Genomic DNA, 17,198 nt, shown 5'->3' with positions numbered 1-17,198 from the left:
CCCAAAGTTGCACAGCCAGTAAATAGAGGAACCAGTTTTTGTGTTCAGATTATTCCATACTTTATTATGAATGATTATCCACCATATTGTGTTATCTTTACTAAGAAAACATTGCAAGTCCGTAAAAGAGAGAGAAAACATATCTTAATGGGAAACCAAGCTTCATGTTTGTCTTTGCACTAGGCCTTACAACTTAAGTGTTTCATCCTTCATAAAGCTTTTCCCCTTTGCCATATTTTTTTTTCTTTCTGGCAGCAAGTATTTCAGCAATGGGCAGAAGACAAAAGAACCAATTTCAGAATTATAGCAGTGAAAAGTCAGGAAGGTTTGAGTACCTCGTGCATAAAGCAGACAATTCTGACCAAGACCAAGACATTTATGTTCCTGCCAATGTTGTAGTATCTACAAGTATGACTATTGACTATTCCATCTTTATCAGTGATAAATGTGTGAATCTGAATAAAAAGATGTCAGTATAAAATTCATCAGTGACTGCTGGATCCAGATATGTTGATGCCATTCTGAGAACATTTTTGCCAATACCTGCCTCCCTAAAAACAGTCATCTCTGCAAGGAGATTGCCAGTTGAAATCAATGGCATGCAAATCTCCACTGTTGCAAGCTATCATTGACATTGTGGATACAGATCTGTACTGGGGATCTCATTTGCCTGCTTTACTCATTATGACTCTGTGAAATCTTACTGTATATTACATTAGAGTCTATATTCAAAGAAAAATCAATTGTCACTTTTGATCCAAATTCAGTTTTCAACTATTGATCAAAAAATTCTAAGTATGATATAAATAAGGACATTAGTCACCTAATGATCATACCAATTTTATTTCAATTTGGATGGCTAATATACATATATCTATTTAGTGTCTGTGACTAACAAACAAACACCCGTTCCATAAAGGAATTTGTTTAGCTGTTATACAACATCTTTCAAAGTAACCTAAGTAATTTTTCTAAAACCTGTTTTCCACAAATATTAGCTAATAACATTACTATTTTTTACCATTTAGTAAAACTCAGAGGTAACTTGACATTTGCATAATTACAGGTAGTTTTCCCTTCAGTCTGTGATTACGTTTTCCATGTCTGGTTCACCTGCCAAAATTTATAAACAAATTAAAAATTACATGGATCTCATGGAAGTGTTTCTGAGTCATCTCCTCCACACAACCATGAATAAAAATTACCAATTTAAAACAAATAGATAAAAACTCTATTTTAAATTCAGTGCCATTTCACCTGATTTAAGTCCAGTTAGAGCTGAATAGTTGAATACATTGCTTATCTGAAAGAGCTACGGGAGCTATGACTAGCTATGATGAAAAAAGGAAGCTGAAATGTGAATGCATTCTTGTTTTCAAGTATAATGAGAAACTGTTATATAGCGAATATTAGTCCCCATTTCTTTTTGGAGAAAATCAACTAACTTTGGGTTGCGATGCGATAGATTATGACCTAAGATTTGGGAAAAAAAATGTTGTAAGAAGTCAGAAATGCTGAACAGTAGAATGAATCAGATTCTGCCTAATTTTATTCACTGGAAGTTGAGAGCTTTAAGAAAAATTATTACATTTTGTATAATTTTGTGTGATAAAGCATAAGACTGAATACAAATGAACTTGCTGCCAATGTTGTGAGACATAAAAAAAATGTTCTTGTCCAATTCTATATTATCGGCCTTTGAATCTCAAATTTCCATGATTGACATGTTATTATTTAGGGTATTGAGTTTTGTTTCCAGGATTCCCCACTTAATATCAAATACTTTTTCAAGGTTTTAAATCTTTGTTAATGTCTTAGTCTTAGTCTTAGTAAGTTTAACACCTTACAGCAGGAAATCTTATTTTTAATTTATAATTTTGCTCATCATGAGCAAAGCCATTAGGTAGTAGGACACAGATTAAGGAGAATAGGAATACTAAGAATGGACAAGTGGCACGTACTGCAGTAGATGTTTAATAAATATTCCTTAATTATTGAATGTGTGAATACATAGTTATTAAAAGAGAGGCAATATATGTGTGGATATAAATACATGTATATTTTATACACATTAGGTATAATAAAAGAGACAAAATACTCCTTTAAGAAGACACTTCACATAAGGCACGAGTTAATAATTTATTGTCTGGATTTAGATAAGCCTGGATTTTATTTTCGGACTCCTTAATCTTCAGCTTCCTCATCTATGTAATATGGATAATACCTGCCTTGCAGAATTGTCCTGAAAGGAAATAAATCACTGAGAATTTATTTCATAAAGTTGCTGTAAAGCTTAAATGACACAGTAGTTATATAATACTCAGTCCTTATCTGACTCAGAGATTTTGCTCAATAAATATTCTTGTGATTACTAACTGCCTCTAAATTGCCTCCACTGTTCCTTAGCTATGTGAGTGATGGATGCAGTAAGTAGGGATATGCAAAGCACTCTGTGGAGGTGCAGCAGAGGCTCCCAAAGGAAAGTCACTAAGACTCAGGGTGTAAAGGAAGGAGACTGGGTTTTGTGCTCAAGAAATATTTCCTAAGAATTGATGATATTTTAGCAAGATTTAAAAGGAATATAATTATTATTCAGGCTAAGCACAATGGCTCATGCCTGTAATCCTAGCACTTCGGGAGGCAGAGGCTGGAGTATCACCTGAGGTCAGGAATTTGTGACCAGCCTGGCCAACATGGTGAAACCCCATCTCTACTAAAAAGAAAAGTCCAAAAATTAGCCAGACATGGTGGTGCACTTATGTAGTCCCAGCTACTCGGGAGGCCGAGGCAGGAGAATCACTTGAACCTGGGAGGTGGAGGTTGCAGTGAGCCGAGATCATGCCATTGCACTCCAGCTTAGGTAACAGAGCAAGAGTCTGCCTCAAAAATAAAAATAAAAATATAAGAAAATAATTATTATTCAGATGAATTGAACAGGCAAGACCATTTTAACAAGTAGGATTAGTATATAGGAAGACACAGAGGCATAGGAAATGTGCCTTCAGGCAGCCATAAATTATTCTGCATGGAGATAGGGCTGGAAATGTGATGAGGGGAGCTTGGTAAGAAGTGAACCTGGAGGGCTGGGCGCGGTGGCTCACGCCTGTAATTCCAGCACTTTGGGAGGCTGAGGCAGGTGGATCATGAGATCCGGAGATCGAGACCATCCTGGCCAACATAGTGAAACAACTTCTCTACTAAAGATACAAAAATGAGTTGGGTGTGGTGGTGTGAGCCTGTAATCCCAGCTACTAGGGAGGCTGAGGCAGGATAATTGCTTGAACCCGGGAGGTGGAGATTGCAGTGAGCCGAGATTGTTCCACTGCACTCCAGCCTGGAGACAGAGCGAGACTCCATCTCAAAAACAACAACAGCAACAACAACAACAAAAAACCGAAAAAAAAGAAATAGGCCTGGAGACTTGGACAAGAGCCACACCATGAAGGATTTATCATTCATCGTAATAAAATTGGACTCGATAATGTAAAAGAAGGAAACTTCAACAATGTCTTAAGGGAGAGATCAGTGTGACTAGATTTGGAAGCATTGTAGAGGTTGTGAGAGTAATAAATGTAAACACTGGAGGCAAGAATATCCATTAGTGATCAAAAGTCCAGGGGTAGGTGTGCACGACAGTGACACTGGTGCAGCTGAGGAGAGAGCAATTCTGTATTAAAGCATGGATGAAATGAGACTGGCAGCACTTAACACAGGAGAGATGAGGGGAATTAAAAAGAGGGAGACCTCTCAGATGACTTTCAGATTTTTGACTTTCATGATTAAATGGTGCTGTTCACCAAGATAAAAACATAAATGGGTGGAATGCGTTTGAGAAGATAATCAGAACTATAAGAAAGAAAAATAAAAATAATTCTACTGAAAAGAATTGAAGATTCCCCTTTTACTCTTCTACTTTTACAATTTTGAATGCTGACTAGATTTTTTAAGAGACTTGTTCCACCACCTAGAGGGATATTTAGATGGTAACCTTAAAAATATAAAAGCAAAAATTGGATATTATTATGACCTTTTAATTACCTTACTTCACTTATATTTTCTGTATGTTCCCTGGATGTATATTAAGATTTTTTCCCCTCTATAAAATAAAAAGGCCATTTAAAATATTCTCTTTAGCTCAATAGTTTCCATAGTACTCAGATTCTCAAAAATTTCTTTTAAAAATATTTAAGGAACAAAATTATCTCAATGAAGCTTAACTCAGCAGAAAATCAGACAAATTTGGAAACAGTCAACTTTTTCTGATACCAAGAAGTTACTTATTTTAGAATGTGAAGCACTTTAATGCCTATCCAATGAAATTGTTACACTGTAATTTAGCTTCAAGTTTATCTGTGGAAAAGGGTCAGTGTGCCATATATCCATGCTGATTACTTAGTCTATATTGTATATATTATTCCATTTTTACACTGCTGATAAAGACACACCTGAAACTGGGAAATTTACAAAAGAAAGGGGTTTAATTTAACTGGACTTATAGTTCCATGTGGCTGGGGAAGCCTCACAATCATGGCAGAAGGCAAGGAGGAACAAGTCCCATCTTAAGTGGATGGCAGCAGGTGAAGAGAGAATGAGGAAGATGAAGATGCAAAAGTTGAAACCCTTGATAAATCTGTCAGATAGCCTGAGATTTATTCACTACCATGAGAATAGTATGGAGGAAATCGCCCTCAAGATTCAATTATCTCTTACTGGGTCCCTCCCCCAACACATGAGAATTATGGGAGTACGATTCAAGATGAGATTTGGGTGGGGACACAGTCAAACCATATAATTCTGCCCCAGCCCCTGTCAAATCTCATGTCCTCACATTTCAAAACCAATCATGCCTTCCCAACAGTCCCCCAAAGCCTTATTTCAGCATTAACTCAAAAGTCCACAGTCCAAAGTCTCATCTGAGACAAGGCAAGTCCTTTCCACCTATGAGACTGGAAAATCAAAAGCGAGCTAGTTATTTCCTAGATACAATGGGGTACAGAAAATACAGCTGTTTCAAATGGGAGAAATTGGCCATTGTATGGGCTACAGGGCCCCTAAAAATCCAAAATCCAGTGGGGCAGTCAAATCTTAAAGCTCCAAAATGATCTTTGACTCCATGTCTCACATCCATGTCATGCTGATCAAGAGGTGGATTATCATGGTCTTGGGATCCACCCCTGTGATTTTGCAGGGTACCGCCTCCCTCCCAGCTGCTTTGATGGGCTGGCATTGAGTGTCTGCAGCTTTTCCAGGCCCACTGTGCAAGCTGTCAGTGGATCTACCATTCTGGGGTCTGGAGGATGGTGGCCCTCTTCTCACAGCTCCACTAGTCAGTGTCCCAGTAGGGATTCTGTGTGGGGACTCCAACCCCACATTTCCTTTCTCCACTGTCTAGCAGAGGTTCTCCATGAGAGCTCCACCCCTGCAGCAAATTTCTGCCTGAACATCCAAGTGTTTCCATACATCCTCTGAAATCTAGGCAGAGGTTCCCAAACCCCAGTTCTTGACTTCTGTGCACTTTCAGGCTCAACACCACATGGAAGCTGCCGAGGCTTGGGGCTGGCACCCTCTGAAGCCACTGCTCAAGCTCTACATTGGACACTTTCAGCCACAGCTGGAGCAGCTGGGACACAGGGCACCAAGTCTCTAGGCTGCACACTGCATGGGGACCCTGGGCCTGGCCTAGGAAACCATTTTCTCCTGGGCCTCTGGGCCTGTGATGGGAGGGGCTGCTGTGAAGACCTCTGACATGCCCTGGAGATATTTTCCCCATTGTCTTGGGGGTTAACATTTGACTCCTCTTTACTTATGCAAATTTCTGGAGCTGGCTTGAATTTCTCCTCAGAAAATGGGTTTTTATTTTATATCACATTGTCAGGCTGCAAACTTTCTGAACTTTTATGCTCTGTTACCTTTATAAAACTGAATGCCTTAAACAGCACCCACGTCACCTTTTTGAATGCTTTGCTGCTTAGAAATTTCTTCCAGTAGGTATCCTAAATCATCTCTCTCAAGTTCAAAGTTTTACAAATCTCTAGGGCAGGGGCAAAGTGCCACCAGTCTCTTTGCTAAAACATGACTAGAGTCACTTTTCCTCCAGTTCTCAACAAATTCCTCCTCATCTCTACCTGGGACCAACTCAGCCTGGACCTTATTGTCCATATCACTCTCAGGCTTTTGTTCAAAGCCATTCAACAAGTCTCTAGGAAGCTCCAAACTTTCCCACATTTTTCTGTCTTCTTCTGAGCTCTTCAAACTGTTTCAACCTCTGCCTGTTACCCAGTTCCAAAGTTGCTTCCACATTTTCAGGTATCTTTTCAGCAACACCCTACCTACTCTGCTGATACCAATTTATTGTATTAGTTCATTTTCATGCTGCTGATAAAGACATACCTGAAACTGGGCAATTTGCAAAAGAAAGAGTCTTAATTGGACTTACAGTTCCACTTGTGAGGCTGAGGAGGCCTCACAATCATTGTGGAAGGCAAGGTGGAGCAAGTCCCATCTTACATGGATGGCAGCAGGCAAAGAGAAAATGAGGAAGACAAAAAAGCAGAAACCCCTGATAAAACCATCAGCCCTTGTGAGACTTATTTACTGCCATGAGAACTGTATGAGGGAAACCACCCCATGATTCAATTATCTTCCACCAAGTCCCTCCCACAACATGTGGGGATTATGGGAGTACAATTCAAGATGAGATTTGGGTGAGGACACAGAGCCAATCCATATCACTGTATGAATAAGGCAAGTTGAAGTTATCACATTGTTAGTGGTTTTATAGCTAATGAATTTCATTACATGTTGCAGAAAAAAAGATTTCTGGACAGTTGTTCCTACAGTAATTGTTGATGTAGTTTAATACTGGCCACAGAAACATTTACTCCACAGGAAAAATGACCTCATAGATATATACATTTTTTTTAGTATCTCCTAATATTTTTAAATGACATGAGTCTTAGCTGTGGAGCAGGGGATGCCAACTTTTTCTGTAAAGGGCCAGACAGTAAATATTTTTCAGCTTTGCAAGCCAAGTAGTCTGTATTGGAGCTCTTCAACACTACCATTGGAGTGCAAAGCTAGCCATAAACAGTACGTGTGCAAATGAGGGAGTATGTGTTCCAATAAAACTTTATTTACACAAACACACAGAGGCTTGAATTTGTTTCCCATAATTTGCCAATGCCTTCCTTAGAGTCTAGTCAATAATCTGTAAGCAAGTGAGATGTCACTGCAGGGCCCTGATTCAAACAGTATCAAAGGATTGATTCCTTGTCATTCATCAAGCAGTACAACTGTCTTCTCCCTTAAGAAACCAGAATTAATATAGCAGGAATGACTTTATTGATGTTCACCAGATAAACCTTTCAAATCAGTTGCTATAGCTAGGATCAACTGACTCGCATTTTATTCAGTTCCTTTCTGTCCCTTCTTTTCTACTTCTAATTCCTCCTCTGATATCAATCCTGTTATTTGTAGATATTCTTATTATGAATGTATATACAGTCATAATACAAAACATTTAATCATAGCAAGGATCCCTCATGTTACCCATTTATAGACTATGCATCTCCCTCCTTCTACACTAACCCACACTAACCTCATCTCTAAACCCTGTAATCATTTCCACCAACTCATTCACATCAAGTGCACCAAAGCTCATGCAGAATATATTCACCTGAGCCTACTACTTACTTCACTATACCTTATTAGCATTTCCTTAGAGTCACTGATGCCATCCAGAACATTTGTATCATTATATCATAAATATGGGATAATTTATTCACTGACCACCCTTTTTTCAGGACTTTCAGCTAGTCTAGCATCTTGTAATACTGTTAAATCCCTTTTTTTACCTGGTTATTACATATGACCCCTGCTGCTCATCAGTTACTTCTAATCTTGGTTTAATTACTATTTTGCTAGAATCTTCTGGCTTTTTTTCACACTTATCTGCATCTGTTAAAGAGAAGATGTGCTTAATAAAAGCAGGACACCTCCAATACACTTATAGAGATATATAAAATCACATGATTATACCCACGTTAATCCCCACGTCTCTATACTCATGGCCTAACCAATATAAATGAATTTCAATTTATCAATCAACAAGTCATATTTTAAAATTGAACTTTTGTTTACAGATACTTGTAGATTCACATGCAATTGTAAGAAAGGACATAAAGAGATCTAGTCTAATTTCTCCCAGTGGTAACATTTTTGCAAAGTCATATTACAATATCACAATGAGAATATTAAAATTAATACAGTCAAAATACAGAACATTTCTGTAATTATGAGGATCCCTCAGGTTGTCCTTTTATAGCCACCTCTCCCTCTCTCTATTCTCTTAACTCTGTCCCTAAATGCTAGAAACCACTTATCTGTTCTCCAATTCCACAAATGCATCACTTCAAAAATGTTAGATAAATGGAATCAAGCAGAATGTAACCCTTTGGGAATGGCTTTCTTTCATTCAACAGAATCTCTCATGTGCTTATCATATCCAAATTTGTTTCTGTTTATTGCTGAGTGGTATTTTCAAAATTGTTAGATTTTATGAGTGTAAAGTTATTTGAAGTATTCCTTATTGTCTTTTTTAATGGCTGCAAGATCTGCTGTGATAGGAACTATTTAACTCCTGGTATTGGTGACTGCTTTCTTCTGCCTTTTTATCTCATCAGTCTTGCTAGAGGCTTATACATTTTGGAAATTATTTCAAAGGATCAGTATTTTGATTTCTTTTCTTTTTTTTCTTTTTTTTTGAGACGGAGTCTCGCTCTGTCCCCCAGGCTGGAGTGTAGTGGTGCAATCTCAACTCACTGCAAGCTCCGTCTCCCGGGTTCACGCCATTCTCCTGCCTCAGCCTCCTGAGTAGCTGGGACTACAGGTGCCTGCCACCATGCACAGCTAATTTTTTGTATTTTTAGTAGAGACGGGGTTTCACCACATTAGCCAGGATGGTCTTGATCTTCTGACCTCGTGATCCACCCGCCTTGGCCTCCCAAAATGCTTGGATTAGAGGCATGAGCCACTGCATCTGGCCCAGTAATTCATATTCTTATCATTAGTAATTCCTTAATTTTTCTCTTTGTGTTTGTGTTACCCTTTATTTCTACTTCCTTAAATTAGAAGCTTGGATTATTTGAGATTTTTTTCTCTTTCCTAACATAGTGATTTACTATTATAATTTTTCCTCTCTGTGCTGCTTTAGCTGTTCCCTCTATATTATGATGTGTTATATATTTTTATTTTATTTAGTTCTATATTTATATTTTATTTAGTTCTATGTATTTTTTAATTTCATGTAATACTTTATCTTTGAACTATGAATAATTTAGAAGTGGATTTTTAAATTTCCGTATAGTTTGACATTTTCCTTCTGTCTTTTTGTTTCTGCTTTCTATTTTTGCTTTCTATTTTGCTTCCATTATGGTCAGACAACGTAATGCACATGATTTCAGTTATCTTAAACTAGTTGAGGTTTGTTTCAAGACCCAAAATATGATCTATTTATATCTTATAAGTGCTTGAAAAATTGTACATTCTACCATTTACGAGGGTATTCTAAGGGTATCAATTAGATTCTGTAGTTGTTCATTGTGTTGTTCACATCTATACTCTTATCTGTTGCATGAGTTACTGAGACAGGGGTGTTAAATTTCCCATGTATAATTGTGTATTTGTCTATTTTTTTAAATTCTACCAGTTTTTGCTTCAAGTATGTTGAGGCTCTGTTTTTCATGTATACACATTTATAATAGCTACATCTTCCTGGTGGATTGATCTTTTATCATTATCTAATGTCTCCCTATGTCTAATAGATTCATTTCTCTGAAGTCTACTTTCTCTGATAGAAACATAACTATTTCTGCTTTTTTAAAAAATAAAATTAGTATGGTATATATTTTTCAGTTTTACTTTCAAGCTGCCTATGTACTAAAGTTGAAGTAAGTTTCTGTAAATAGCGTATACTTGGGTCATTTTTTGTTTCCTTGCTTGCTTTGGTTTTTTACCTACTCTTCTCATCACTCTTTTAGTTGAAATACTTAGACAATTCACATTTAAAGTAATTTTTGATATGTTGGTGCTTAAGTCTGCCAAATTATTTGCTTTGTATTTTTTTCTCTGCTTGTCATTTTTCTGTTTTCATTCCTTTTTGTGAGTCACTTGGACATTTTTTAAGGATATTATCTTATTTGTGTTGTGTTATGGTGTTATTTATTTATTTATTTATTTATTTATTGAGACAAGATCTCACTATGTTGCCCAGGCTGGATTGATCTTCTGGGTTCAAGTGATCCTCTCACCTCAGCCTCCCTAGTACTGCTGGAACTTTACGCACCACCTCTGCACCCAGCTTATAATGTTTTAATTTATAATTTATTTATGGTATTACTTTTAAGAGTTTTCCTAGTCTTTGGTCCGATCATTGCAAATTACAGTATACACATGACTTTGGATAGTCTACTTGTATTAATATTTTTTCACTTTGAGTGAAATGTGGAAAATTTACTTCCATTTAGACTCCTTTACCATCTTCACTTCCAAGTTAGAATTGTCTTGAGTTTAGATGGTCTTATAATTTGTATTTCCATCATCACACATGATTTAGAAAACACTTGATGTAAGGGTAGGCTTGTTAAAATTTACCATATTTAAAACTCTTTCCAGTTCTTTTTTCCTTCCCGACCTTCTGGGATTTCTAACTTATCATTTCTTTTTATTTAAAACTTCCTGCTTTTATTATATTTCTTCCTATTATTTCTATTTCTTCCTTTCTATCTGAGACTACCTGGACCCCCTTCTTCTGCATACTGTGGAGGAGGGGGTTGTAGGATGAACTGCCGCTTTATTGATCCTCCTGTCCTGGGCTCCGTAACTGGTTTACCTTTCACGTTCTCCCTTTCACAGTTCTTTGAGTGTCTCTTGCTATTTCCAAGTTTTAATTGAGTCTTGATATTTATGAAGTTGTCTAGTGAAGAAACACCCACATCAAGAATATATTCATTTATAAATAATACAATTATAAAACAAGTTCCCAACAAGAAACAAAATTTAAAAAATAAAACAAGTTCCACATCTTCTCCTCTTATCCTTTTTACTTAACTGCCTTTGTATATGTCTATCTATTGCTGTCATCAGGCCTTTTCTAAAATCCAATTCTCATAATATGCAAGCCTAAGTTATGGTGAAATGAAGCAGCCATTAAGAAGTGAATCAAGAAGTCAGGGAAGTGATGCTGGGAACCGCTTGCATCACAAGCAAAGTCATTGGTGTTTCCAGATCTAGCAGAGTTACAATGAATAACATGCAAAGAAAAATAATTATATAAGACTATGGCACTATCATGTGCAAATTAAGAGGAAATATTTGATGGCTGAAGTTTGAGGTACTTCTGAAAATGATGAAATTTTCCAATACGTTTGCAAAAATTATGCTCCTTAGGATTATGTAGTAAAGGCAAAACTTGAAGAATATGAATTATGCTATCATATAATTTATTTAGAAAATTTAGAGTAACTACTATAGAATTTATTTCTACTTTTTCTATTTGAATAATTAGCACAGAGTTTTTAATATAATCTAATTTTTAATATTAATAAAAATGAATTTACTATATTAGTTAGATTGGCTAGACTATGCTGTGGTAGTTAATAAATCCTGAAATCTCAGTGTCTTAATGCAGTATGTAATTTTCATTCAATACTCAAATTGATGTGGATCAGGAGCCCCCCTTTATCTTGCTGTTTGACAATCATAAGCACTTGGCCTCCAGGGTTGCTGTACTAGGGGAAGAGTGAGCTAAGTAATTTTACAAAATAACTTTATTATCTAGGCTTGTAAGTGGCTTACAACCCTTTGGCATATGTGACATTGACTTGTTTTTTTTTGTCACATGACTCCAATCCATGTGCAGAAGGCAGAAACAAAAAGTTTTCTTTTGGCTTTATGTGCATAAACACTGATATGGTTTGGCTGTGTCCCCACCCAAATCTCATCTTGAATTCCTATGTGTTGTGGGAGGGACCCGGTGGGAGGTAATTGAATCATAGGGGCAGGTCTTCCTTGTGCTGTTCTCATGATAGTGAAAAAGTCTTACAAGATCTGATGGTTTTGAGAAATGGGAGTCTGCCTGCACAAGCTCTCTCTTTGCTTTCTGCCATCCACATAAGACATGACTTGCTCCTCCTTGCTTTCTGCCATGATTCTGAGGCTTCCCCAGCCATATGAACCCTAAGTCCAATTAAACCTCTTCTGTTTTAAATTGCCAAGTTTTGGGAATGTCTTTATCAGCAGCATGAAAACAGACTAATACAAACACTTGGCATTTTTTCCTGCTCCCATTATTTTTATTATATGAGGTATAATAAGAAGCAACCTTTCCACTATTACTCGAACCTTTTGGGTACAATTTAAGTTACATATTTAAGAGGGTTTCACATGCCAATTTTCTTGAGACAATTAATAAAGACCTCCTGCATACATGAAACTTTTTGCTTTAGTGAAAAACATCTTCCTTAAATTGTGCTGTTCTGCAAGATTTCATAAACAATTAGTATCAGTAGACTGCCAATTTAATATGCTGATGAAAGTTAACCAAGTTACTTAACATTGTAGTAAACCACTTCAGAAAGATCTCATAGAAATATGCTATGCTTAAGCCAATATGAAATTTTCTTTTAAAGACAATGGGATCAGAATCCTTCACTAAAATATGAAGACTGACTCAGCAGAAAAAGTATCTGCTATCAATTACATTGCTGGTTATACAAGCAACCTTTTTTTGGTCAGTTCCCAGGAAATTAATGAACAGATTTGATTCTGCTTAGCTTGGAGAACTGATAAAAATCTCACTCCAAGGTAGTGTGAAAGAAGCTATAACCTTTCATTTTCTATTCTTTTAAGAATAATTAAAAGACTTAATTAAAAAATTCTCTATACCATTCAAAGTCCTTTTCCTCTCCAAACTATCATAATGCTGATTTATCAGATAAGCCTAACTATACCCTAGGCTGTAATAATCTTTTCTCTGTATTCTGACTTTGTGAAAGGTTGAATTTGTTTTTAATGGTAAAGTGATTATTCCTACTTCCCTTTTAACTTGCACAGGCATTTCTAATTTATTAAAGCAATGAAACTGTTCTTTCTTTTCCCCATAGGAGAGAAGAATTATGTAAAACTCTTATATTGAGACATTATGCACACAGAACAAAAGAGAAATAACTAATTTTCCAGAACTAAAATACATTTAACTATGGTATTTTAAAAATACTTTTAGTGCTAAAGATATACTGATTAGGATCAATTAATTTGAACAGGAAGGGAAGTTTCAAGGAAAGATATGTAGAAACTCTACAATTTTTACCAACCTTTGAAACACGAATGTGGCAAGTGCTAAGTAATTAAGAATGGAAGATGGTATTCCAGGATAAAGGAGTTAAACATAAACTGTATGTAACATGGTGTTGTTAGAATGTGAGGCATACAAAAGATGTAAATGGAGCTAAACCTGACAAAATAGTGTTCAATAACTTTTCAATATAATTAAAATGTTTTTTGAATCCTTTCCTAGGAACCAGCTCTATGTATGCAATGTCAAATATTCATTTAGAAATCAGTTTTTCAGAAATGCATGAGAACATAGCAGACATTTCTGTTCTATGTGTTGATATAGTGACTTTTGCAGCATCATTGCATTACCATGAAAACATTCAATATCTGTTTTTAAGGTAATTTACCAAGTGAATGTCAAAGTTCTCTTTGATTTATTTATGTCAAGGCTTAGAATGTTACAGAAAGATAACAGAATGTGAAAATCATGTTGGTCAGCCAAGTCAAAGCTGGTTCCACAGGCAAATCACATGGAATTCATTGACATCAGTGCCACAGTGAGAAGCAGCCCAGCATCCTGTATTGAGCATGGTGAAATTGCTTAAATTATTGTTGAAGAGTTGACAGACATTTTGCATCAATTTACCATTCAAGAGGGTTTCAAAAGATGACTCAAATTACTTGTTCTAAATGCAAGAATTAAATGATAAACACTTTTCAAAAAGTCAAGTTCATAGGCCTGCTCCTATGTTACTCATTTATTTCACTCATTCACTCATTTATCCATTCATTCATTCTCATGTACACACAGACACACACACACACACACACACACACAGAGACAGAGAGAGAGAGAGAGAAAGAGATTATCAAGTATGTTCAGGGCATTATACCAGACACAAAGATCATTATGGCAGTAATCTAACCTCAAGGAACTGATCGTCTATTAGTGAAAGTTCTCTAGCAGAAAATGAAGAATAATTATGTACATAATAATTTAAAGAACCAGGGGTATCGACAGAGATGTTGAAAGGGCATCCTGAGTAGCAGTGAAAAGGGTGAAACTCCTAATGGAAGGTAGGCTGGAGTTTGTGTTCAGTGGAAGATAAGGCTGCACAGTAGCATACCAATTATCATCAAAGCTACAGACATTAGAAAAATAAATGCTCTGTGGCCTAAATTTTCTACGTCCCCAAATAATTGTAAATTTGCAAAGTATAAGAAAGAATGTTCATATTCAGGAAATATTTTATATTGCATTGTTAATATGGCTATATATGTGTACATATTATACATCAAAAGGATGAAATCACTTTCACTTTAAAAATTTTACAACTGTTGTCATGTTATATCTAATTTGTGCCTACGGAGTATTTTTTTCCATGTGCTGGGATTTACCTTCTGTTTTACAACTAATTTTAACGTTAGCGAGCATGACTTTACCACCTTCATCTCCATTATGTGTGCCTAGGTGATCTGTACTTAAAGCCTTTGTCCTTTTCCAAGCTTCTTCCTACAGAAGCTTTCAATAAAACTGATCCTGGCTACCTTAATAATCACTGTCTACTGACTATCAAGTCAGACGCGTTGTCAAAATCATTGTGTGACTGAGTATTCTATTAGTAGTCTCTGAAACTAATTTGAAGCTATTTTGTTTTGCTCATAAAGGGAACTTAAAAAGAGTAAGAATAATCTGTCACATGCTCTATTTTATGATTTAAATTAGAGTGAAAATTCAGTGTCTCAAATCTCCCTCAAAAGTTTATCTTGAGAAATTATAATATAATCTGATATCAATAGAGCAGTTATTGACAACTTCCATGTTCATACTTCTCCATTACCCTTTGTAGCCTGGTTTTTCAACTGCTTCCTACAGTTTAGGATTTTAAGAATATTTTTGATAATGAGATACAATAAGAAACACATTTTCTCTCATGATTCAGTATGCACACACAGGCACATAGAGACATAAATAGGCATACACAGACACACCACACACACACAAAGTGAGACAAGATTCTCTTAAAACCTTATGATGCTCTCTGATATTTTTCATTTTATTTTGCTTTATTTGTGTTTCTTTTGTGAAATATGTTCTAGTGAGATCCATTACATTTATTTTACCCTCATTAGTAGATTAAAACCTGCAGTTTGAAAAAAATTTAAACAATCTGATTTTCTGACCTTTTTAAACAGAAAAAATAAAATTAAATTAAAACTTTATTCTTTAATGTATTGTTTTTCTACTCTAGCCTCTCTTACTGTATTCTATCAGCCTTTTTGCATTTTATTGGAATAAAAGCAATTTTATCTTGACTTGAGGCTACATATGTTTTCCAAATAATAAGAATAAAAGAATTGTATGTGCAAAACCAGATTATAATATTTTCTCCTTGTTAGTGAAAAGAATCATTTTAATTATTTTGATACTAAGAATTACTTTACAGATTTGAGAGATATGACATTGAGATATAGCATGGTCAGTTGGCTTCTGTGGGAAATTGATTTGCTAAACTAAACCTAAAGGCGAGAGAGCTTGAGGTAACCATGAAATTTTTGTTGTGTGTTTCAATATTAATGAAAACCACTTCTGTATGAAACAAAAACAAGTCACACACTGTGCCTGTAGGACAAATTACATTTTTTAAACTTTAAGTCATTACAGTTTGATTCTCATCATTTGATAATTCATATAACATCTATTGGATTTGGGATTTATCTGCCTTCTCAAAACTATAGAAACCCAAAAATGATAACAAAAGTAGACTTTTAGTTGACTATAGACAAAGAATATTTCTGTGCTTCAAATAAAAATATTGTGATGTTGATTCACAAATATACTTCTTTAAAAATCTCAAGTGAAAAATTATAAATTATAAGTTTTTCAAAACACAAGCTGTGTGTCGGACAATATTCTAAGCATCTGCACAACATATCCTTTTAATTGTCAAAAAACCTTTAAGAAAAATATTATTTTTCCACATTTTAAAGATGACGTGACTTTAAAGAAAATGACATTGACACACTTTGAGCTTAGTCGCAGAGCTCTTAGCTGTTTTGCTATACTGGTAACTTTATCACCACATTTATTTATTTTCCTTATTAACATAGAGTCAAACTGTTATGGTGATAGCAAATTAACACCTTTCAGAATAAAAAATATCTACTCACAAAATTGTGACATATTTACTTGAGTAAGTCATTCACTCTATCAAAATATGGTCAAAACCCTATCTTCCCTGAGACTGGAAAGAATGACTTCATGTAAGAAATGTAAAATGGTGGAGTCAAAGAATAATGGAAAAAACAAACAAACAAAACACAGTTATGTGGGCATCTTTTTTCTTTTGTCTTTTTTTCTTTTTGAGATGGAGCGTCACTGTGTCGCCCAGGCTGGAGTGCAGTGGTGCAATCTCGGCTCACTGCAAGCTCCCCACCCCCGGGTTGAAGCGATTCTCCTGCCTCAGCCACTTGAGTAGCTGGGACTTCGGGTGCATGCCACCACGCCCGGCTGATTTTTGTATTTTTAGCAGAGACGGTGGTTTCACCATATTTGTCAGGCTGGTCTCGAATTCCTGACCTCAGGCGACCCACCCGCCTCGGCCTCCCAAAGCGCTGGAATTACAGGCTTGAGCCTCTGCGCCCGGCCTATGTGGGCATCTTAATAGTGTTAATGTACAAGGGACATTGAGAAGTTAGTAAACGTCTGCTATACAAACATATGCAAATGTGCTCACCTTCATGTAACTCAACAGTAACATAATATAAATGATACTTTCTTGGAGTAAATAATTAAACAACATTCTTCTGATGCCATTCATTGAATTCATAGCTTTTATCTCTGATTTTCAATATTTCCTTAATAT

This window comes from Homo sapiens, chromosome 18, assembly GCF_000001405.40.
Source record: "Homo sapiens chromosome 18, GRCh38.p14 Primary Assembly".
Lineage (NCBI taxonomy): Eukaryota > Metazoa > Chordata > Mammalia > Primates > Hominidae > Homo > Homo sapiens.
This window is presented reverse-complemented; position numbering follows the sequence as displayed.